The 16,696-nt window shown below is 38.5% G+C and overlaps 1 protein-coding gene across 13 annotated transcripts in view; it reads left to right on the top strand.

Moving 5' to 3' along the window:
* FCRL2 (Fc receptor like 2) overlaps nt 1-14,317 on the top strand; it is a 31,400-nt gene extending 17,083 nt beyond the window's left edge. For 4 of the 13 annotated variants that reach the window (XM_047430275.1, XM_047430273.1, XM_047430270.1 and 1 more), the window contains 5 exons: nt 10,373-10,400; nt 11,090-11,175; nt 11,432-11,497; nt 13,151-13,179; nt 13,276-14,317. In XM_047430275.1, the coding sequence (XP_047286231.1) occupies nt 10,373-10,400; nt 11,090-11,175; nt 11,432-11,497; nt 13,151-13,179; nt 13,276-13,314 (248 nt within the window). In that variant the 3' untranslated portion in view covers nt 13,315-14,317. Of the gene's footprint in view, nt 1-10,372; nt 10,401-11,089; nt 11,176-11,431; nt 11,498-13,150; nt 13,180-13,249 lie in introns of all 13 variants that reach the window. The other 9 variants (XM_017002319.2, XM_017002318.2, XM_017002317.2 and 6 more) reach the window with 5 other exon arrangements.
* The last annotated feature ends 2,379 nt before the right edge of the window (nt 14,318-16,696 follow it).

Genomic DNA, 16,696 nt, shown 5'->3' with positions numbered 1-16,696 from the left:
GGCATCTAGGTTGATTCCATGTCTTTGCTATTGTGAATAGTGCTACAATGAACATATACATGCATGTGTCTTTACAGTAGAACGATTTATATTCCTTTGGGAATATACCCAGTAATGGAATTGCTTGGCCAAATGGTAGTTCTATTTTAAGTTCTTTGAGAAATCTCCAGACTGTTTTTCACAGTGGCTGAACTAATTTACATTGCCACCAACAATGTGTTAATTGTTCCCTTTTCTCTGCAACCTCACCAGCATCTCATTTTTTGACTTTTTAATAGCCATTCGGACTGGTGTGAGATGGTATCTCATTGGGGTTTTGATTTACATTTCCCTAATGGTTAGTGATATTGAACACTTTTTCATATGATTTTTGGCTGCATATATGTCTTTTCTGGAGAAGTGTCTGTTCATGTCCTTTGCCCATTTTTAAATAGTGTTGTTTGGTTTTCACTTATTGATTTGCTTGAGTTCCTAGTAGATTCTAGGTATTAAAGCTTTGTTGGATGCTCAGTTTGCAAATATCTTCTTCCATTCTATAGATTGTTTATTTACTTTGTTAGTTTCTTTTGTTGTGAAGAAGCTCTTTAGTTTAATTAGGTCCCATTTGTCAATTTTTTGTTTTTATTGCAATTGTTTTTGGAGTCTTCATCATGAAGGCTTTTCTTGGCCAATGTCCAGAACGGTATTTCCTAGGTTTTCTTCTAGAGTTTTGTATTAGTCTGTTCTCACAGTGCTGTAAAGAAATACTCAAGACTGGGTAATTTACAAAGGAAAGAGGTTTAATCGACTCACAGTTCCACATGACTGAGAAGGCCTCAGGAAACTTACAATCATGACAGAAGAGGAAGCAAACATGTCCTTCTTCACAGGGTAGCAGGAGAAAGAAGTGCCAAGCAAAGTGGGAAAAAAACCATCAGATCTTATGAGAACTAACTCACTATCACGAGAACAGCATGGGGGTAACCAGCCCCATGATTCAATTACCTCCCACCGGGTCCCTCCCACAACACATTGAGATTATGGGAACTACAATTCAAGATGAGATTTGGGTGAGGACACAGCCCAACCATATCAAATCTTTATAGTTTTAGGTTTTACATTTAAGAATTTGATCCATCTTGAGTTGATTTTTGTATATGGTGAAAGGTAGTTGTCCAGTTTCAATATTCTGCATATGGTTAGCCAGTTATCCCATCAGCATTTATTAGAGAGTCCTTTCCCCATTGCTTGTGTTTATCAGCTTTGTAGAAGATCAGATGGTTGTAGATGTATGGCTTTATTTCTTATTTGGTTATTGTAGCCTTGTCATATAGTTCGAAGTTGTATAGTGTTAGCCCTCCAGCTTTGTTTTTTTTTTTTTTTTTTTTTTGCTTGGGACTGCTTTGGCTATTTGGGCTCTTTTTTGGTTCCAAATGAATTTTAGATTTTTTTTTCTAATTTTGCAAACAATGTCATTGGTAGTTTGCTAAGAATAGCCTTGAATCTGTAAATAGCTTTGAAGAGTGTGGCCACTTTAACAACCCTGATTCTTCCTATCCATGAGCATGGAATATTTTTTCATTTGTTTGTGTCATCTCTGATTTCTTTCAGCAGTGTTTTGTAATTCTTGCTGTGGAGTTCTTTCACCTTGTTGGTTAGTTGTATTCCTAGGTATTTTTTCCCTTTTGTGCAAGCCAGTATTCTCAAGTTCAATGGAAGTTTTATTTTTTAAACAGATGATCTAAGTAAGTCTGATATTACGCTTCTTTACCCCTCTCTGCTACTTTATTCCCAAAATATCTTTCCCAGTTCCTCATTCTTTTACAGAGCCTCCTGCCTCATCACTGCTCTTTCAAGGGTGAAATGGCCACCCTCTATTTGGGTAACCAACTCTGTTCTGTTTCCTCACTTACAAAACGAGAAAGTTACCTCAGATGTACGCCATGATACACCAAGCCCATCTTCAACTCTTTTATACTTACAAAAGACAATAGTTGTTCTTTCCCGTGAAGACAGTGTAGGGTGTCTGTGTTGGTCTTCTTGGGATAGCATAACAAAATGCCACAGATTGGGTGGCTTAAAGAACAAAAACTAATTTTCTTTTTTTTCGAGACGCAGTCTCACTCTGTCACCCAGGCTAGAGCGCAGTGGCACCATCTAGGCTCACTGCAAGCTCTGCCTCCTGGGTTCACGCCATTCTCCTGCCTCATCCTCCCCAGTAGCTGGGACTGCAGGCGTCCGCCACCACGCCTGGCTAATTTTTTGTATTTTTAGTAGAGACGGGGTTTCACTGTGTTAGCCAGGATGGTCTCGATCTCCTGACCTCGTGATTCACCTGCATCGGCCTCCCGAAGTGCTGGGATTACAGGTGTAAGCCTCCGTGCCCAGCCCCCAAAATTAATTTTCTTACAATTCTAAAGGCTGGGAAGTTTAAGGTTAAGATGCCAGCAAGATAAATTTCATTCTGAGGCCTCTTCTCTTAGCTTGCAGGCAGCTACCATCTTGCTATGTGCTCACACGAATTCTTCTTGTGTACATGCAGAGAGAAAGAGCAAATTCTCTGTTGTTCTTTCTTTTTTTTTTAATTATACTTTAAGTTCTGGGGTATATGTGCAGAACGTGCAGGTTTGTTACATACCTATACACGTGCCATGGTTGTTTGCTGTACCCTTCAACCCGTCCCTTCTTATAAGAACACTAATCCTATTGTATCAGGGCTCCACCCTTATGATCTCACTTAAAATTAATTACTTCTGTAAAGGTTCCATTTCCAACTGTAATCACATTTGGCATTAGTACTTCAATATATGGAGTTTGGGCAGGACACAAACATTCAGCTTATAAATGTGCCCAAGCAAGGACAAGTGCTAATATAAGCCTCCTAATCTGTCACTTTTGTTATTGATCAAAAAGTCCCATTGATCAAAAAGTAAGTCATATGGTCATAACCAAATGCAAGTGGTAGAGAAAAAGTGTCTACCTCTTTGCTGACAAATGACAGAGTCACACTGCAAAACAATGCATACAAGAAGATAGGAACAAATTGGGAACCTTTACTGCATGGATGTACCACATGGTTTTTGACCTGCACTTCCACTCTTGTAACTTTAAAAAAATTTAATTGATTTTTAATTGACAGATAAAAATTGCATGTATTTATGTACAGCATGATGTTTTCAAATAAGTATACGTTGTGGAATTGCTAGATTGAACTAATTAATATATGTATTGCCTCACATACTATCTTCCTATTACATTTTAGTTTACAAGCACACAACCACACAAAATTATTTTTTACTAAATTTGCTTCCAAAATTAGGCTGCTTCAGAAGTTTTCAGTCTCAGGTCATGGCTTTGACCTTCAGATATCCAACCTTTTTTTTTTTTTTTTCCAGACAAAGTGTCACTGTGCTACTCAGGCCAGAGTGCAGTGGTATGAACATGGCTCACTGCGGGCTTGATGTCCCAAGTTCAGGTGATCCTCTTGCCTCAATTTCCCAAGTAGATGGGACCACAGGCATGCTCGCCATGCCTTGCTAATTTTTTAATTACTTCTGGAGATGACTCTATATGTTGCCAAGGCTAGTCTTGAACTCCTGGGCTCAAGCGATCTTCTTACCTTGGCCTCCCAAAGCACTGGGATTATAGGCATGAGTCACCATGCCTGGCCAGATATCCCAAACTGGCAATTTATTTCATGGTGAGTTTCACTTAAGACAATTCTTTCTTTCAAGTAGATGACTTAATTGGGACCACCTCAATTTATCAAAAGATGATCTAATAACTAAAGAAAGTCAGCATCTTGATCCCTTTCCTTCCATGAAGGTCCTCGGACCCCTACATAAATTAGCCATACCCTAAATCATTAACTTTTGTGCTTTGCACAGCATAGAAATATAAGGACAAGGCAGTGGCTGTTGCCTAATGAAAGCAATGCTTTCTTTCATTGGCTAATCTCTTATCATGAGGACCATGATACCTCTATGTCAACCTAAAATAAACTAAAATAAACTATTAACATAGTCCCTTTCAGAGTGGCCCAATACCTTTTATTTTTTCTTTAAAATAAATAACTGAATAAATATGTTACAAATACATCTGGTAAAACATTCATACAATATCAAAGAATATGACAGTAAAAAGTAATCCTTTCTCTCACAACTGTTCCTGGACCTCTTGGTTCCCTTCCTCAGAGGCTCCCACTCTTAGCAATATCTCATTTATTTTTCCAGAGATATTTTAGACTTATGTGATGTCATTGTATACATACATGTTCTTTATTTTCACACAAATAATAACATACTATGTGCTACACTTCACTTTTCTATGAATATTATTTGAGAACTGTTTGATATAAATATGTATAGAACTGTAACATCTTTTTAATGGTTGCAAAGAATTCTATTCATGGATTTGCAATAGTTATCTTAATGTTAATGATTACCTATTGATGGAGATTTAGATGATCTCAAGTTGTTTTCCATGACACACAATGCTACGATAATTTTTCTTTTAGATGTCATTTCTTACATGTACAGTATGCCTGTGGAATTAATTCTTATAAATAAAATTTCTATATTCAAATTAGATACCTTTATAATTTGATAGATATTGTCAAGGGTTACTCATAGTTGTACAAAATTATACTCCCGTAAGGACATGTCATAAACATGCTTGTTTATAACACACCAGCCACACAAAGTATTGTAAGTTTTGATTTTTTTGCCTGTTTCTCAATTGAGAAACATTACTGCCCTGTAGTTTTGATTTATGTTTCTGTTTATGGTGAGCTCTTTGTTCACATAGTTTCATCGTTTTACGTTGGGTTTTTTATCTCATTCTTAGTGATTTGTAGATGATCTGTTTATACTAAATGTATTAGCTCTTTGTCTGAGGTATGAAGAGTGAAAAGTGTCCCCAGTCTGCAGTTTGCATTGCCTTTCATATTGAAATTCTTACTATAAAAATAATTATTGTTATGTGGTCTAACTTATCAGTATCTTCTTTTATGGGTTCTAGGTTTGGTAACGTATTTTGGAAGGTCTTCCCCATTCTTAGATGATAGAAAAAGTTCTCCTTTTTTTCTTTTCTTTTCTTTTTTTTTTGAGACAGAGTCTCTCTCTGTCACCTAGGCTGGAGTGCAGTGGTGCAATCTCGGATCACTGCAACCTTAACCTGCTGGACTCAAGTGATACTCCTACCTCGGCCTCCTGAGTAGCTAGGACCACAGGCATGCACCGCCGTGACTGGCTAATTTTTGTATTTTTTATAGAGATGGGATTTCTCCATGTTGCCCGGGCTGGTCTCGAACTCTTGAGCTCAAGTGATCTACCAGTCTTGGCCTCTCTAAGTACTGGGATTACAGGTGTGAGCTACTGTGCCAGGCCCATATTTTCTTCTAGAATTGTATCACTTTATATTTATGCTTAAATTTTTGATCCATCTGTTACTGGAAAGGGGTCTGGATCCAGACCCCAAGAGAGGGTTCTTGAATCTCAAGTAAGAAGGAATTCAGGACGAGTCCATACCGTACAGTGAAAGCAAGTTTATTAAGAAAGTAAAGGAATAAAAGAATGGCTATTCCATAGGCAGAGTAGCCCCAAGGGTTCCTTGTTGCCCATTTTTATGGTTATTTCTTGATGATATGCTAAACAAGGGGTGGATTATTCATGCCTCCCCTTTTTAGACCATATTGGATAACTTCCTGATATTGCCATGGCATTTGTAAACCATCATGCCACTGGTGGGAGTGTAGCAGTGAGGGCAACTAGAGGTCATTCTTGTTTCTATCTTGGTTTTGGTGGGTTTCTGCTGGCTTCTTTACTGCAACCAATTTGATCATCAAGGTCTTTATGACCTGTATCTTGTGCCGACCTCCTATTTCATCCTGTGACTTAGAATGCCTAACTGTCTGGGAATGGGGCCCAGTAGGTTTCAGCCTCATTTTACCCAACTCCTGTTCAAGATGGAGTTGCTCTGGTTCAAATACCTGTGACACATCCAGAAATATTCTTCAATAGGTACTGAACTAGAATCTAATCTTTTTTTTCAGATAGCTATTTCATTATTTCTATGTGATTTATTTAATTATCTTTTTTAAGTAAAGTGATGCCTTTATAATACCCTATGGTATTGTGATATAAGAAGAAATTATTTAATATATTTGGTCTTTGTCCCTAGTTCCTGACCCCTGAGCTCCTAAAACTCTGAGAATTCCTTGAGTGTTGAGTGTCTTTGGTATGCTAATGAGATGACTCTCAACAGAGGGGCTCCTGGATAGCTTCAATATGAGAGCTGGTTTTCAGAAACACCAACCTTGTGATTAGAGGGTTGGAACTTTAAGCCTCACCCCTGGACCTCTGAGGACAGGAGAGGGACTGAAGATTCATCTAACCACCAATTGCCAATGATTTAATCAATCATACCTATGTAATGGGACCGCTATAAAAATCCTAAACAATGGGATTTGGCGAGCTTGCCAGTTGGTGAATACATCAATGTACTGGGAGGGTAGAGCACCCCATTCCCTTGGGAACAGAAACTCCAGTGTTCAGTACACTTCCAGACATTGTCTTACCTAAACTTTTTCATTTGGTTGTATATTTGTATCTTTTATAACATCCTTTGTAATAAACCAGTAAAAGTAACTGAAGTGTTTCTTCGAGTTCTATAGAGCAAATTATTGAAACTGAGGAAAGAGTCCTGGGAATCCCCAGTTTATAGCCATTTGGTCAGAAAGATATGAGGCCCATGACATATTATTGGCATCTGGGGTTGGGGGCAGTTTTGTGGGACACACCCCTTTACCTATGGGGTCTGCACTAACTCTGAGTAGTATCAGGACTGAGTTTAATTGTAATTAGTGTCCTAAGAGTTGGAAAATTGACTGGTATGGGGAAGAAAAACCCCACACACACGGCAACAGAAGGGTCATGGATAAAAGCAGTTCAGCTATACTAAATATCTGATACTATTCAGATCTAACTTTGATGCCCTATTCTGTTTGTGTGTATGTCAGTGTGTGCATACGTGTGTTTGTGTGTGTGACTTGTATGCCTTCGCTTTATAACAATACATTTTTTATTCCATCAAGGTTGTTCCCATCATGACTATGCTATTCTTACAGAACTTTTCTGGATATTATTGCTTACTTATTTTCCCTACAAACAATATAATCAGTGTCTCTCAACAAAGTAGTTTTGTTAGGATTCTCTTAAATTTTGAGATTAATTAAGGAAGAATTGACAGCTTTATAATGAGAAATGTTTCTATCCAAGAGTGTGTCTACTTTTGGTAAATTTTGAGTCATAGTATTTTAGAGTTTTACTTATATAGGCTTTCACCATTTCTTGCTAAGTTTACTCCTGAGATATTGATTAATTTTTGCTATGATAACTGATTCATCTAACAAGGGTACTCTTAGAGTGCAACCATAAAATTTAATTTTTTATCTTCCTCTTCCTACTGCCCATTCACACTCAGTCTTAGAGGATTATATTTTCCCTGACTCTGGTTGAAATCGCAGGCAGGCCCATAGTCTATCCACTTACTCCTTGTATTAGTCGGTTTTCATGCTGCTAATAAAGACATACCTGAGACAGGGCAATTTACAAACGAAAGAGGTTTAATTGGACTTATAGTTCCACATGGCTGGGGAAACCTCACAGTCATGGCAGAAAACCAGGAGGAGCAAGTCACATCTTATGTGGATGGCGGCAGGCAAAGAGATAAGCTTGTGCAGGGAAACTCCTCTTTTTAAAACCATCAGATCTTGTGAGTCTTATTCACTATCATGAGAACAGCACGGGAAAGACTTGCTCCCATGATTCAGTTACCTCCCACTGGGTACCTCCCACAACATGTGGGAATTCCAGATGAGATTTGGGTGGGGACACAGCCACACCATATCACTCCTATATAATTTTAGGCAAACAACAACAAAAACATAGTTTCTCCAAAGAGCGCTTGTTCATTAAGCAGCTTTCTGAATCTCAAAGTTAAAGCACTCACCTCCCACCCACTCAGCTCAGACCCTCTTCAGGCCAGCCTTCTGCAATATGGAAAGGGTTCTGGCCAGATGTTTCTCTCTTTCCTCAACTTGCTTCTGTTTTTGAAACCCCCATGGCTGGCATTGATTTCCTCTGGCTCTGAAAAAGCTGACTCTCCAGGTTTGCTCGGTTGAGAAAATCAGCTCCTATTTTGGGGGTGTGTTTCTGGATTCTCCAGAGCCCCCCAACTATTAACATTACCTACCTGCATCTTGTGATGCAGGTGATTCATTCTTCTCCAGCTGAGCACTTAACATCTCTCTTCAGTTTCCAAGAATCTAAAGTCTTCTTCCTCTTCCCCTCCACCCTTATTTTGGAACCCTATACCTCTTCAGGAAGTCCTCTTGGCCAGATTTTGAAATGGCTTCAAGCTTTGCCTCTCTTCCACAGGGCTCAGATCCATCCACAAGAAACACTTGCACACCATTGCACCCACCTGTAAATATGCAGCTCCTGCCTCAGGCAGATGACCGTATCTCCCCTGAAATGAATGTTCCTTTATCTGCTTTTCAAGGCTCCTTAAGATTTTTCAGGCATGTGTCCACACGGGGCACTCCTCCCCACACCAAGCTGGCCTTAATATTGTCCTCCGATTGACTATAGGCTCCTCATCTCCCTTTTCTTAGAGCATTTACTTTAGAAAACTTGCAATTGTAAATTCTTTCTCTGCCTCCTTGAGATATAAATCTTCTCTTAGCCTCTTGCCAGTTTTACAACCCAGAAATGTCTATCTCTAAGACTTGGGAGCCAGCCCTTTGAAATGTAACCATCTAGAAAGATAGTGCCTCTATCTCCTGTATGGTAAAACTCTTAGAATTTATTATTTGATCTACCAATATTTCTTTCTAATTCTAGAATTCTGCTTTTATCTTTGTTAGTTATTGCCTTCTATTTTTGTTAGTTTGATTCTTTTGAACAAATTGGATATTGAGTCTTCCTTTTTTTCTTATATATTTGTATACGTATTCAGTTGCTTAAGACTTGCTTCCTTTAAATTGACAAATTATAGACATATGTCAATTTTTTCATAGTTTTGTTATGAATTACCAGTTCCATTATGATCAAGGAATATTATTTGTACCATGTCGATTTTTGGAATATTTTGGAGGTTTTCTTTGTGAACCAATGTATCATCACATTTTGTTATTATTCAAAAGTGCTTAGATAGTAGAACTATTTTTGAAGTCCATTTTAAAATAATTTCTTCAAGAAGGAATTGCTGGAAACATATACACTAATTTAATACATGTTTGAATATGACTGACTGCCCCTTACTTATGCTTTAATGACAGTTTGGCTTGGTAGACAATTCTGAGGTCATTCCTTTCCATGAAGACTAAACAAGCTAATTATAAAGAAGTTTTACCTTCTCCTTGGAAAACTAAATCAAAGTTAATTTTCTAGCACTGTTTTCTGTAAAGCCTAACAAAGTTGAAATATTGGCTGAGCTACTAGCAGTATTTTCCATGATAGGCAAACTGCCTCTACACTGGGAGGACTTTGACCACGATTATATAAGCCTGATGGGAAGCACAACTGGGGTATCCCCAAATGCAATGTAACTCTTGAAATTTAGCATGTCTCTTGTAGTAGTGACCTCTGGAAGCTACACACATACACTCATGGGTGTTACAAGCGATACTGATTTCTACGAAGCATGAAGCTTTTGAGCTGGGGTGGCCTCTATATACATCTATGTGGCATTGTTTCCTGAGGTATTAATGGAGGACTAGAAAATATCTCCTGGATCGCTATGAGGATTCTCTTTAAACACACAGCTGATACATCTATGCTAATATACTGCGTTTCTTGTTTTACATCTCTCCACAAAGCAAAATGGTACAAGAGATGGCCTAGTTCGCCTTACGAATGTCAACATCCAGCTTAGCCCCAAGATCATTCCTAAAGACTAAGTGTTGCAAATATCAAACATTTAAAAATTAAGAATGGCTGCATAAAATCTAATACAGAAGAGCAATAAAATAAAATTAGTCATCAATGGTTAAAATATGTTATACATTAGGATAGTTAAAACAACATTGTACAGGTACATGAATAGACAAAGAGACAATAGAACAGAATAGAAAATAAAGAAACAGTTACCAGTGCATGACGGGTTTGCCATTTGAAGTGGCATTTTAAATCAGTGGGAAAAAAAGAATGAATTATTTTACTAACAACTAGTTGTGTTGGAATAAATAAGTAGCCATTTAGATGAAATACAATTGGATTACTCTTCTATATCTTATGTCTTACCAGCTGATTATACGTAGTTAAATCATGTCAAAATTTTAAGAGATAAAGCTTCCTTCTCTGAAATGAATTTTGTTTTATTTGCATTTCAGGAGAAAGTTCTGCCACTAATGAACCCAGGTGAGAACTCTTCCTAGTAAAAATTTTAATTCTAGAGGTCTCCTTCATTCAGTTTTAAATACCTACTGTACTCTGCTTGTACGTTGAGACTGAAGCTATGTAATTAACATGGTATCTTTCTATAATACTTACTCTTGTCTCTACTGCATTACATTTCTGCCACCAGGGCACTGTCTTAAGGTGGTCCACATGATCCTTGGTGTTATCTTGTATAGGATTACATACATTTAAATTAATATATAAATTCATATATTCAAGATTATTGAATACCTATAATGTATAAGTAAGTTTTTGTTAGATATTTAGAGGAAAGAACATACACACAAAATGTGTATTTCCTCCAGGGACATACTGTGCTATAGGTATGTAGTATATGTCCAGAGTACAAGAAGGAGTGAGAGAGATAAAGTAATGAGAAAAAGGCAGGCAAAGTTTTATGACAGTTTATAAGAAAAAAAAAGATTCTGGAGCAATATCATTGTCTTATTTATAACTTTTGAAAAAGCCAAAGATAAGGAACAGAAGTTTTGGCCATATCAAAGTAGATAGTCTACACAAAGGGCCATAAAATCACCCAAGCAGAGAGCCATGGCTGCAGGGCTTCCACCTGCTCTCTCCTCAGCCAGTCTCCCCTCTGTTCTCACTCACTGCCCTGGGGATTATCATACAATTAATTCACTTTCTCACAGAGGGGCTTCCAGGCCAAATCCTCAAGAGTTCACCTATTCAAGCCCAACCCCAGACATGGAGGAGCTGCAGCCAGTGTATGTCAATGGTGAGTGTCTCCACTGGGAAGGGCTCTGAGGCTGAGTCAGAAAAGAAAGAGGAGACAGGAGCGGAGACCATTAGGTGGGTGGTGTAGACACCCCAACACCAGAGGCCCAGCCATTCCCAATAAATAACAGACTCTCTCAGAATCATGTTGGGGTTGAGAGGAAGGATATAATCATTAAGCCAGGGCCTGGGAAGCTGTGTATGAAGTGTGAACCCTGGGCCACCAACATCTGTGAACTCTTGTCTTCTCCCTGCAGTGGGCTCTGTAGATGTGGATGTGGTTTATTCTCAGGTCTGGAGCATGCAGCAGCCAGAAAGCTCAGGTGAGAAACTGCAAAGTAGTTCTTGTCAGATGCATATTCACAGGAAAGTGATGCATTGTTTGCAATAGAGGCTTTATTTATTTATTTATTTATTTATTTATTTATTTATTTGTCTATCTATCTATCTACTTTTGAGGAGCCTTGCTCTGTTGCCCAGGCTGGAGTGCAGTGGTGCAATGTCAGCTCACTGCAATCTCTGCCTGTGAGCTGATACAGGAAAATTGCTTGATTTTCCTCTCTCAGACTCCTGAGTAGCTGGGATGAGAGGCATGCGCCACCACGCCCAGCTAATTTTTGTATTTTTAGTAGAGACAGGGTTTCACCATGGCTGGATTCAAACTCTTGACCTCAAGTGATCCACCCGCCTCAGCCTCCCAAAGTGCTGGGATTACAGGTGTGAGCCACTGCACCCAGCCAGCAATAGAGGCTTTAATACATCACTTGCCCTTGATAGGAAATCTGTTGATCCAGGAGGGAGCAAGAGACACCTGGAGGTAGGCTCTTGTGAAGAGAGCAAACTTAAAAAAAAAAATAGGGTGATGGTCTAATGAGTCTTCATTTGAATCGGGTTAGATAGTCAGGGAGAATCTAAGATTCAAGGCAAAAGAAGGAAATCAGGCAAGAGTGAGCATGTCTAAAGTCCAAGAGGAATTCTCTCAGGTGAACAGGGTCATTAAAGTGTCTCTTTTGAAGGATCTGTAGTCTTCATATGGGATGGGAGGAATAACTGAATAAATCAACATGACCTAGAGAATTTTCACTTTGACACGTAGCTTTGCAGGAACTGCTGAGTTCTGCAGCAGTGCAGAGGAGTGTCCTTTAAGCTTCTGCTCCAGTGCCCTTAAAACTACAATGCTTATATCAACAACCCTAAAAGCTGTCCTTTGTTCTGTACTCCTGGTTGCCTCTGATGGAGCCAGTGGCTGTTGACAGCTTGGCTGATTTCCTGGTCAGTGGTCATCTAGCTACTCTCCTCTGAGCCTCTGAAGGTGGGTCCTCTGTCTGCCTTGCTTAGATTTGCCACTTCAACTTCCTATAGGGAGTTGATTACCCTATCATTCTCTTTCTCTATCTGACCAGCCTAGCAGAATCAAAAAGTGCAGTCACTTTCCAAGCCCTCTAGCTGTAAATCTTCAAGGGAAGGAAAGGGATGTCATCCCACTATGCCTACCTGGAAAAAGGGGAAAAGAAGCAGACATCACTAAGCAGCTCCTGCAACCAGACTCAAAATACTATGTGATTCAGAGTCTGTCTTCTGTTATCTATGCTTCTATTCCAATTTCCTTCTATGTAGTGAGGTGAACCACACATGATTGGTTATCTCAGGAACATAGAGAAAGAACAGGAAACAGCCCTGACAGAATGCTGCAACAGAGAAGTCAAGAGGAAAAAATTATAAAGACAATGACCTATGGGAAGTTGCATTAGAGAAAGGAAGCGCTTTGTTAGTAAGTGCTGGTGGAGGGCTTGGAAGATGGATAGAGTCTTAGAAGGACTTCAGTATTAACAACTTTAAGAAAGGATTTTACAGAACAGGAGAAAATGGGATTCCACATACTAAGCATAGTAGTTCTATGCCCTGGGGCATAAAGTCTGGGAGTGAGGCCTAATTAAGAATGCAAGAGCTCAGAACTATTACTTTTTCCTTAACAGCAAACATCAGGACACTTCTGGAGAACAAGGTGAGCTAGACACCTTGGAATTTCTTCATCTTTCCTTCCTTCTCCCTATTTATTTTCTTGATCACCTCAGTCTTTATTCCTGTGTGTCTCTCCCAGGACTCCCAAGTCATCTACTCTTCTGTGAAGAAATCATAACACTTGGAGGAATCAGAAGGGAAGATCAACAGCAAGGATGGGGCATCATTAAGACTTGCTATAAAACCTTATGAAAATGCTTGAGGCTTATCACCTGCCACAGCCAGAACGTGCCTCAGGAGGCACCTCCTGTCATTTTTGTCCTGATGATGTTTCTTCTCCAATATCTTCTTTTACCTATCAATATTCATTGAACTGCTGCTACATCCAGACACTGTGCAAATAAATTATTTCTGCTACCTTCTCTTAAGCAATCAGTGTGTAAAGATTTGAGGGAAGAATGAATAAGAGATACAAGGTCTCACCTTCATCTACTGTGAAGTGATGAGAACAGGACTTGATAGTGGTGTATTAACTTATTTATGTGCTGCTGGATACAGTTTGCTAATATTTTGTTGAGAATTTTTGCAAATATGTTCATTGGGAATATTGGCCTGAAATTTTCTTTTCCACTGTGTCTCTGCCAGAATGTTTGTATCAGGCTGATGCTGGCTTCATAGAATGAGTTAGGCAGGAGCCCTTCCTCCTTGATTTTTTGGCATAGTTTCAGCAGGATTGGTACCAGTTATTCTTTCTGCATCTTGTAGAATTCAGCTATGAATCCATCTGGTCTAGGGCTTTTGTGTTGGTTGGTAAGTTTTTTATTACTAATTCAACTTCAGCGCTTGATATTGGTCTAGGAGGGGTTTCTGTCTCTTCCTGGTTCAATCTTGGGAGATTGTGTGTTTCCAGGAATTTAGCCGTTTCCTCCAGATTTTCTTCTTTATGTGCATCGACTTGAGTGTAAACATAACTTATATGCACTGGGAAACCAAAAAATCTGTGTGACTTGCTTTATTGCAGCATTTGTTTTATTTTGGTAGTCTGGAACTGAACCTGCAATATCACCAAAGTATGCATATAGTTGCAAAAATGTGATTTTTGACATAGTAAATATGAGTATTTGCAATAAACTATGATATTACTTTTGTAAGTATATAGAATAAAATGTAAATAATCTATAGATTTGATACTATCATATTTTCTTTTTTCTGTGAATGCACATTTTCCTTTTTTTCTTTCTTCCAACTTGTATTTTAGGTTCAGGGGGTACATGTGTGGGTGTGTTATATGGGTAAATTGCATGTCACAGGGGTTTGGTGTACAGATTACAGATTGGTATAGATTGTTACCAAGGTAATCAGCATTGTACTCAATAGGTAATTTTTCTCTTTCTTTCTTTTTTTTTTTCTTTTTTTTTGACGGAGTCTTGCTCTGTCACCCAGGCTGGAGCGCAGTGGCATGATCTTGGCTCACTGCAAGCTCGCCTTCTGGGTTCACCCCATTCTCCTGCCTCAGCCTCCCAAGTGGCTGGGACTACAGGCATCCACCACCACCCCCGGCTAATTTTTTGTATCTTTAGTAGAGACGGGTTTTCACCGTGTTAGCCAGGATGGTCTCGATCTCCTGACCTCGTGATCTACCCACCTCGGCCTCCCAAAGTGCTGGGATTACAGGCATGAGCCAATGCGCCCTCAATAGGTAATTTTTCAATCCTCACTCTCTCCTCACCCTCCACCCTCAAGTAGACCCCAGCGTCTATTGTTGTCTTCTTTTTCAAAGAAAAATTTTAAATTTTTGTGGGTATGTAGTAAGTGTATATATTTATGGGGTACATGAGATACTTAGTAAGTATATACATTTATGGGGTACATGAGATGTTTTGATACAGGCATGCAATGTGTAATAATCATGCCATGAAGAATGGGGTATCCATCCTCCCAAGCATTTATCCTTTGCATTTAAAACAATCCAGTTACATTAAGTTATTGTAAAATATAAAATTAAGTTATTACCAATTATAATTGTGCTATTAATAAGTAGGTCTTATTCATTCTTTTTATTTTGTTGTACCTATTAACCATCCCCACCTTGCCCCCTATTGTTCCCTTCGCTGCGTGCATGTGATTTTTTTTTAAAAATTTTATGGCTGTGAATGCACATTTTCATTGGCATTTTTTCATTCAAAATTTTAGGTGCAATGTAATTCATCTTTATTTCTGAAAATGTTTTACTGATCACTTTAATTTAAAAAAATTTCTGTGATCATAAGGCTCTGTGTTAAAACATTTCTTCTGCTTTGAATTATCTTTAGAATTATTATAGGTACAAAACTGATCAAAACTATGGGAATAAATTACACATTTTTTCAAAAATTATTAAACATAAAAAGGTAAATTGTATTAAAATCCACCTCTTAATGACTCATTGGAGTACTTTTTAACATTTTCGAATTGAAACATGTATCCACAAATAAATTTAGTCAACTGATTCACCAGACATTTATTGAAAATCTACAAGAACCAAGTGTTAGGGATATAGAATGTAAGTCTGCAAAAATCTCAACCCTCGATTTTATTTTAATTTTCTTTTTTACAGATGTCAGCACTGAGAAACCTTCACGTGAATAGACAGATTGGAATAAAATGACTTTTTATTTTTAAAAAATAGAAGTTTTACACAATTTTTTTAAGACTTGTCTAAGGATCATTAATGTGTCTTTATCACTTAAAAACACCTTGTTGAACCCAAATACACATGAAACATTGAGAAAAATAAGAATACCCCAACCTGCTTGACTGTCCTCCTTAGAAGCACACTTAAACAGTGATCTCCTTTAACTGGCCATTGGTCCTGTCCAGTGATGGCTGTAGGTAGGCACCATGGCCATGCCTTCAGTATTCTGATAGCTGCTGGCTCCAGGGTTAATTGTAGGGATGAGGTTACCCCATTTTGTGATAACCCCATGGGACATCCCAACTTTCAGTCCCGGATGCTCAGAGATGAGAAATTAGGTGGTGGATGTTTAGGGTGCTTAATTCCTATGAAGTTCTTTCCCAGGGACACTCAAAGGTATTTCCATTTATTTGCTTCTATCTACATGAAATCTTATCAAAATTTCTGTTGTATATGTGTCATTGTGCTTACACACATTTCTCCTAATTTTTGTTTCTTTGGTCATTTTAATGGTAATATGAAAAGAAATTCAGCATGAAAATAAAAATAATAATGAGGATGATAATAATCTTGAAACAAATATCTCTCTTCTTTATGATACTTTCTTTACTGCTTTTTTATTTATTTATTTATTTTGAGGCAGGGTTTTGCTCTGTCACCCACACTGGAGTGCAGTGGCATGATCATAGCTTACTGTTTTGACGTCCTGGGCTCAAGTGGTCCTCCTGCCACAGCCTTACAAATAGCTGAAACTACAGGCACATGCCACCTTGCTCAGATAATTTTAAAGATATTTTTGTAGAGATGAGGGTCTCACAATGTTGCCCAGTCCAGTCTTGAACTCCTGGCCTCAAGTGATCCTCCAGCCTTGGCCTCCCAAAGTGCT

This window comes from Homo sapiens, chromosome 1 (assembly GCF_000001405.40).
Source record: "Homo sapiens chromosome 1, GRCh38.p14 Primary Assembly".
Classification (NCBI taxonomy): Eukaryota; Metazoa; Chordata; class Mammalia; order Primates; family Hominidae; genus Homo; species Homo sapiens.
Note: the sequence above shows the minus strand (reverse complement) of the source record. Positions and strands in the feature narration are given on the sequence as shown.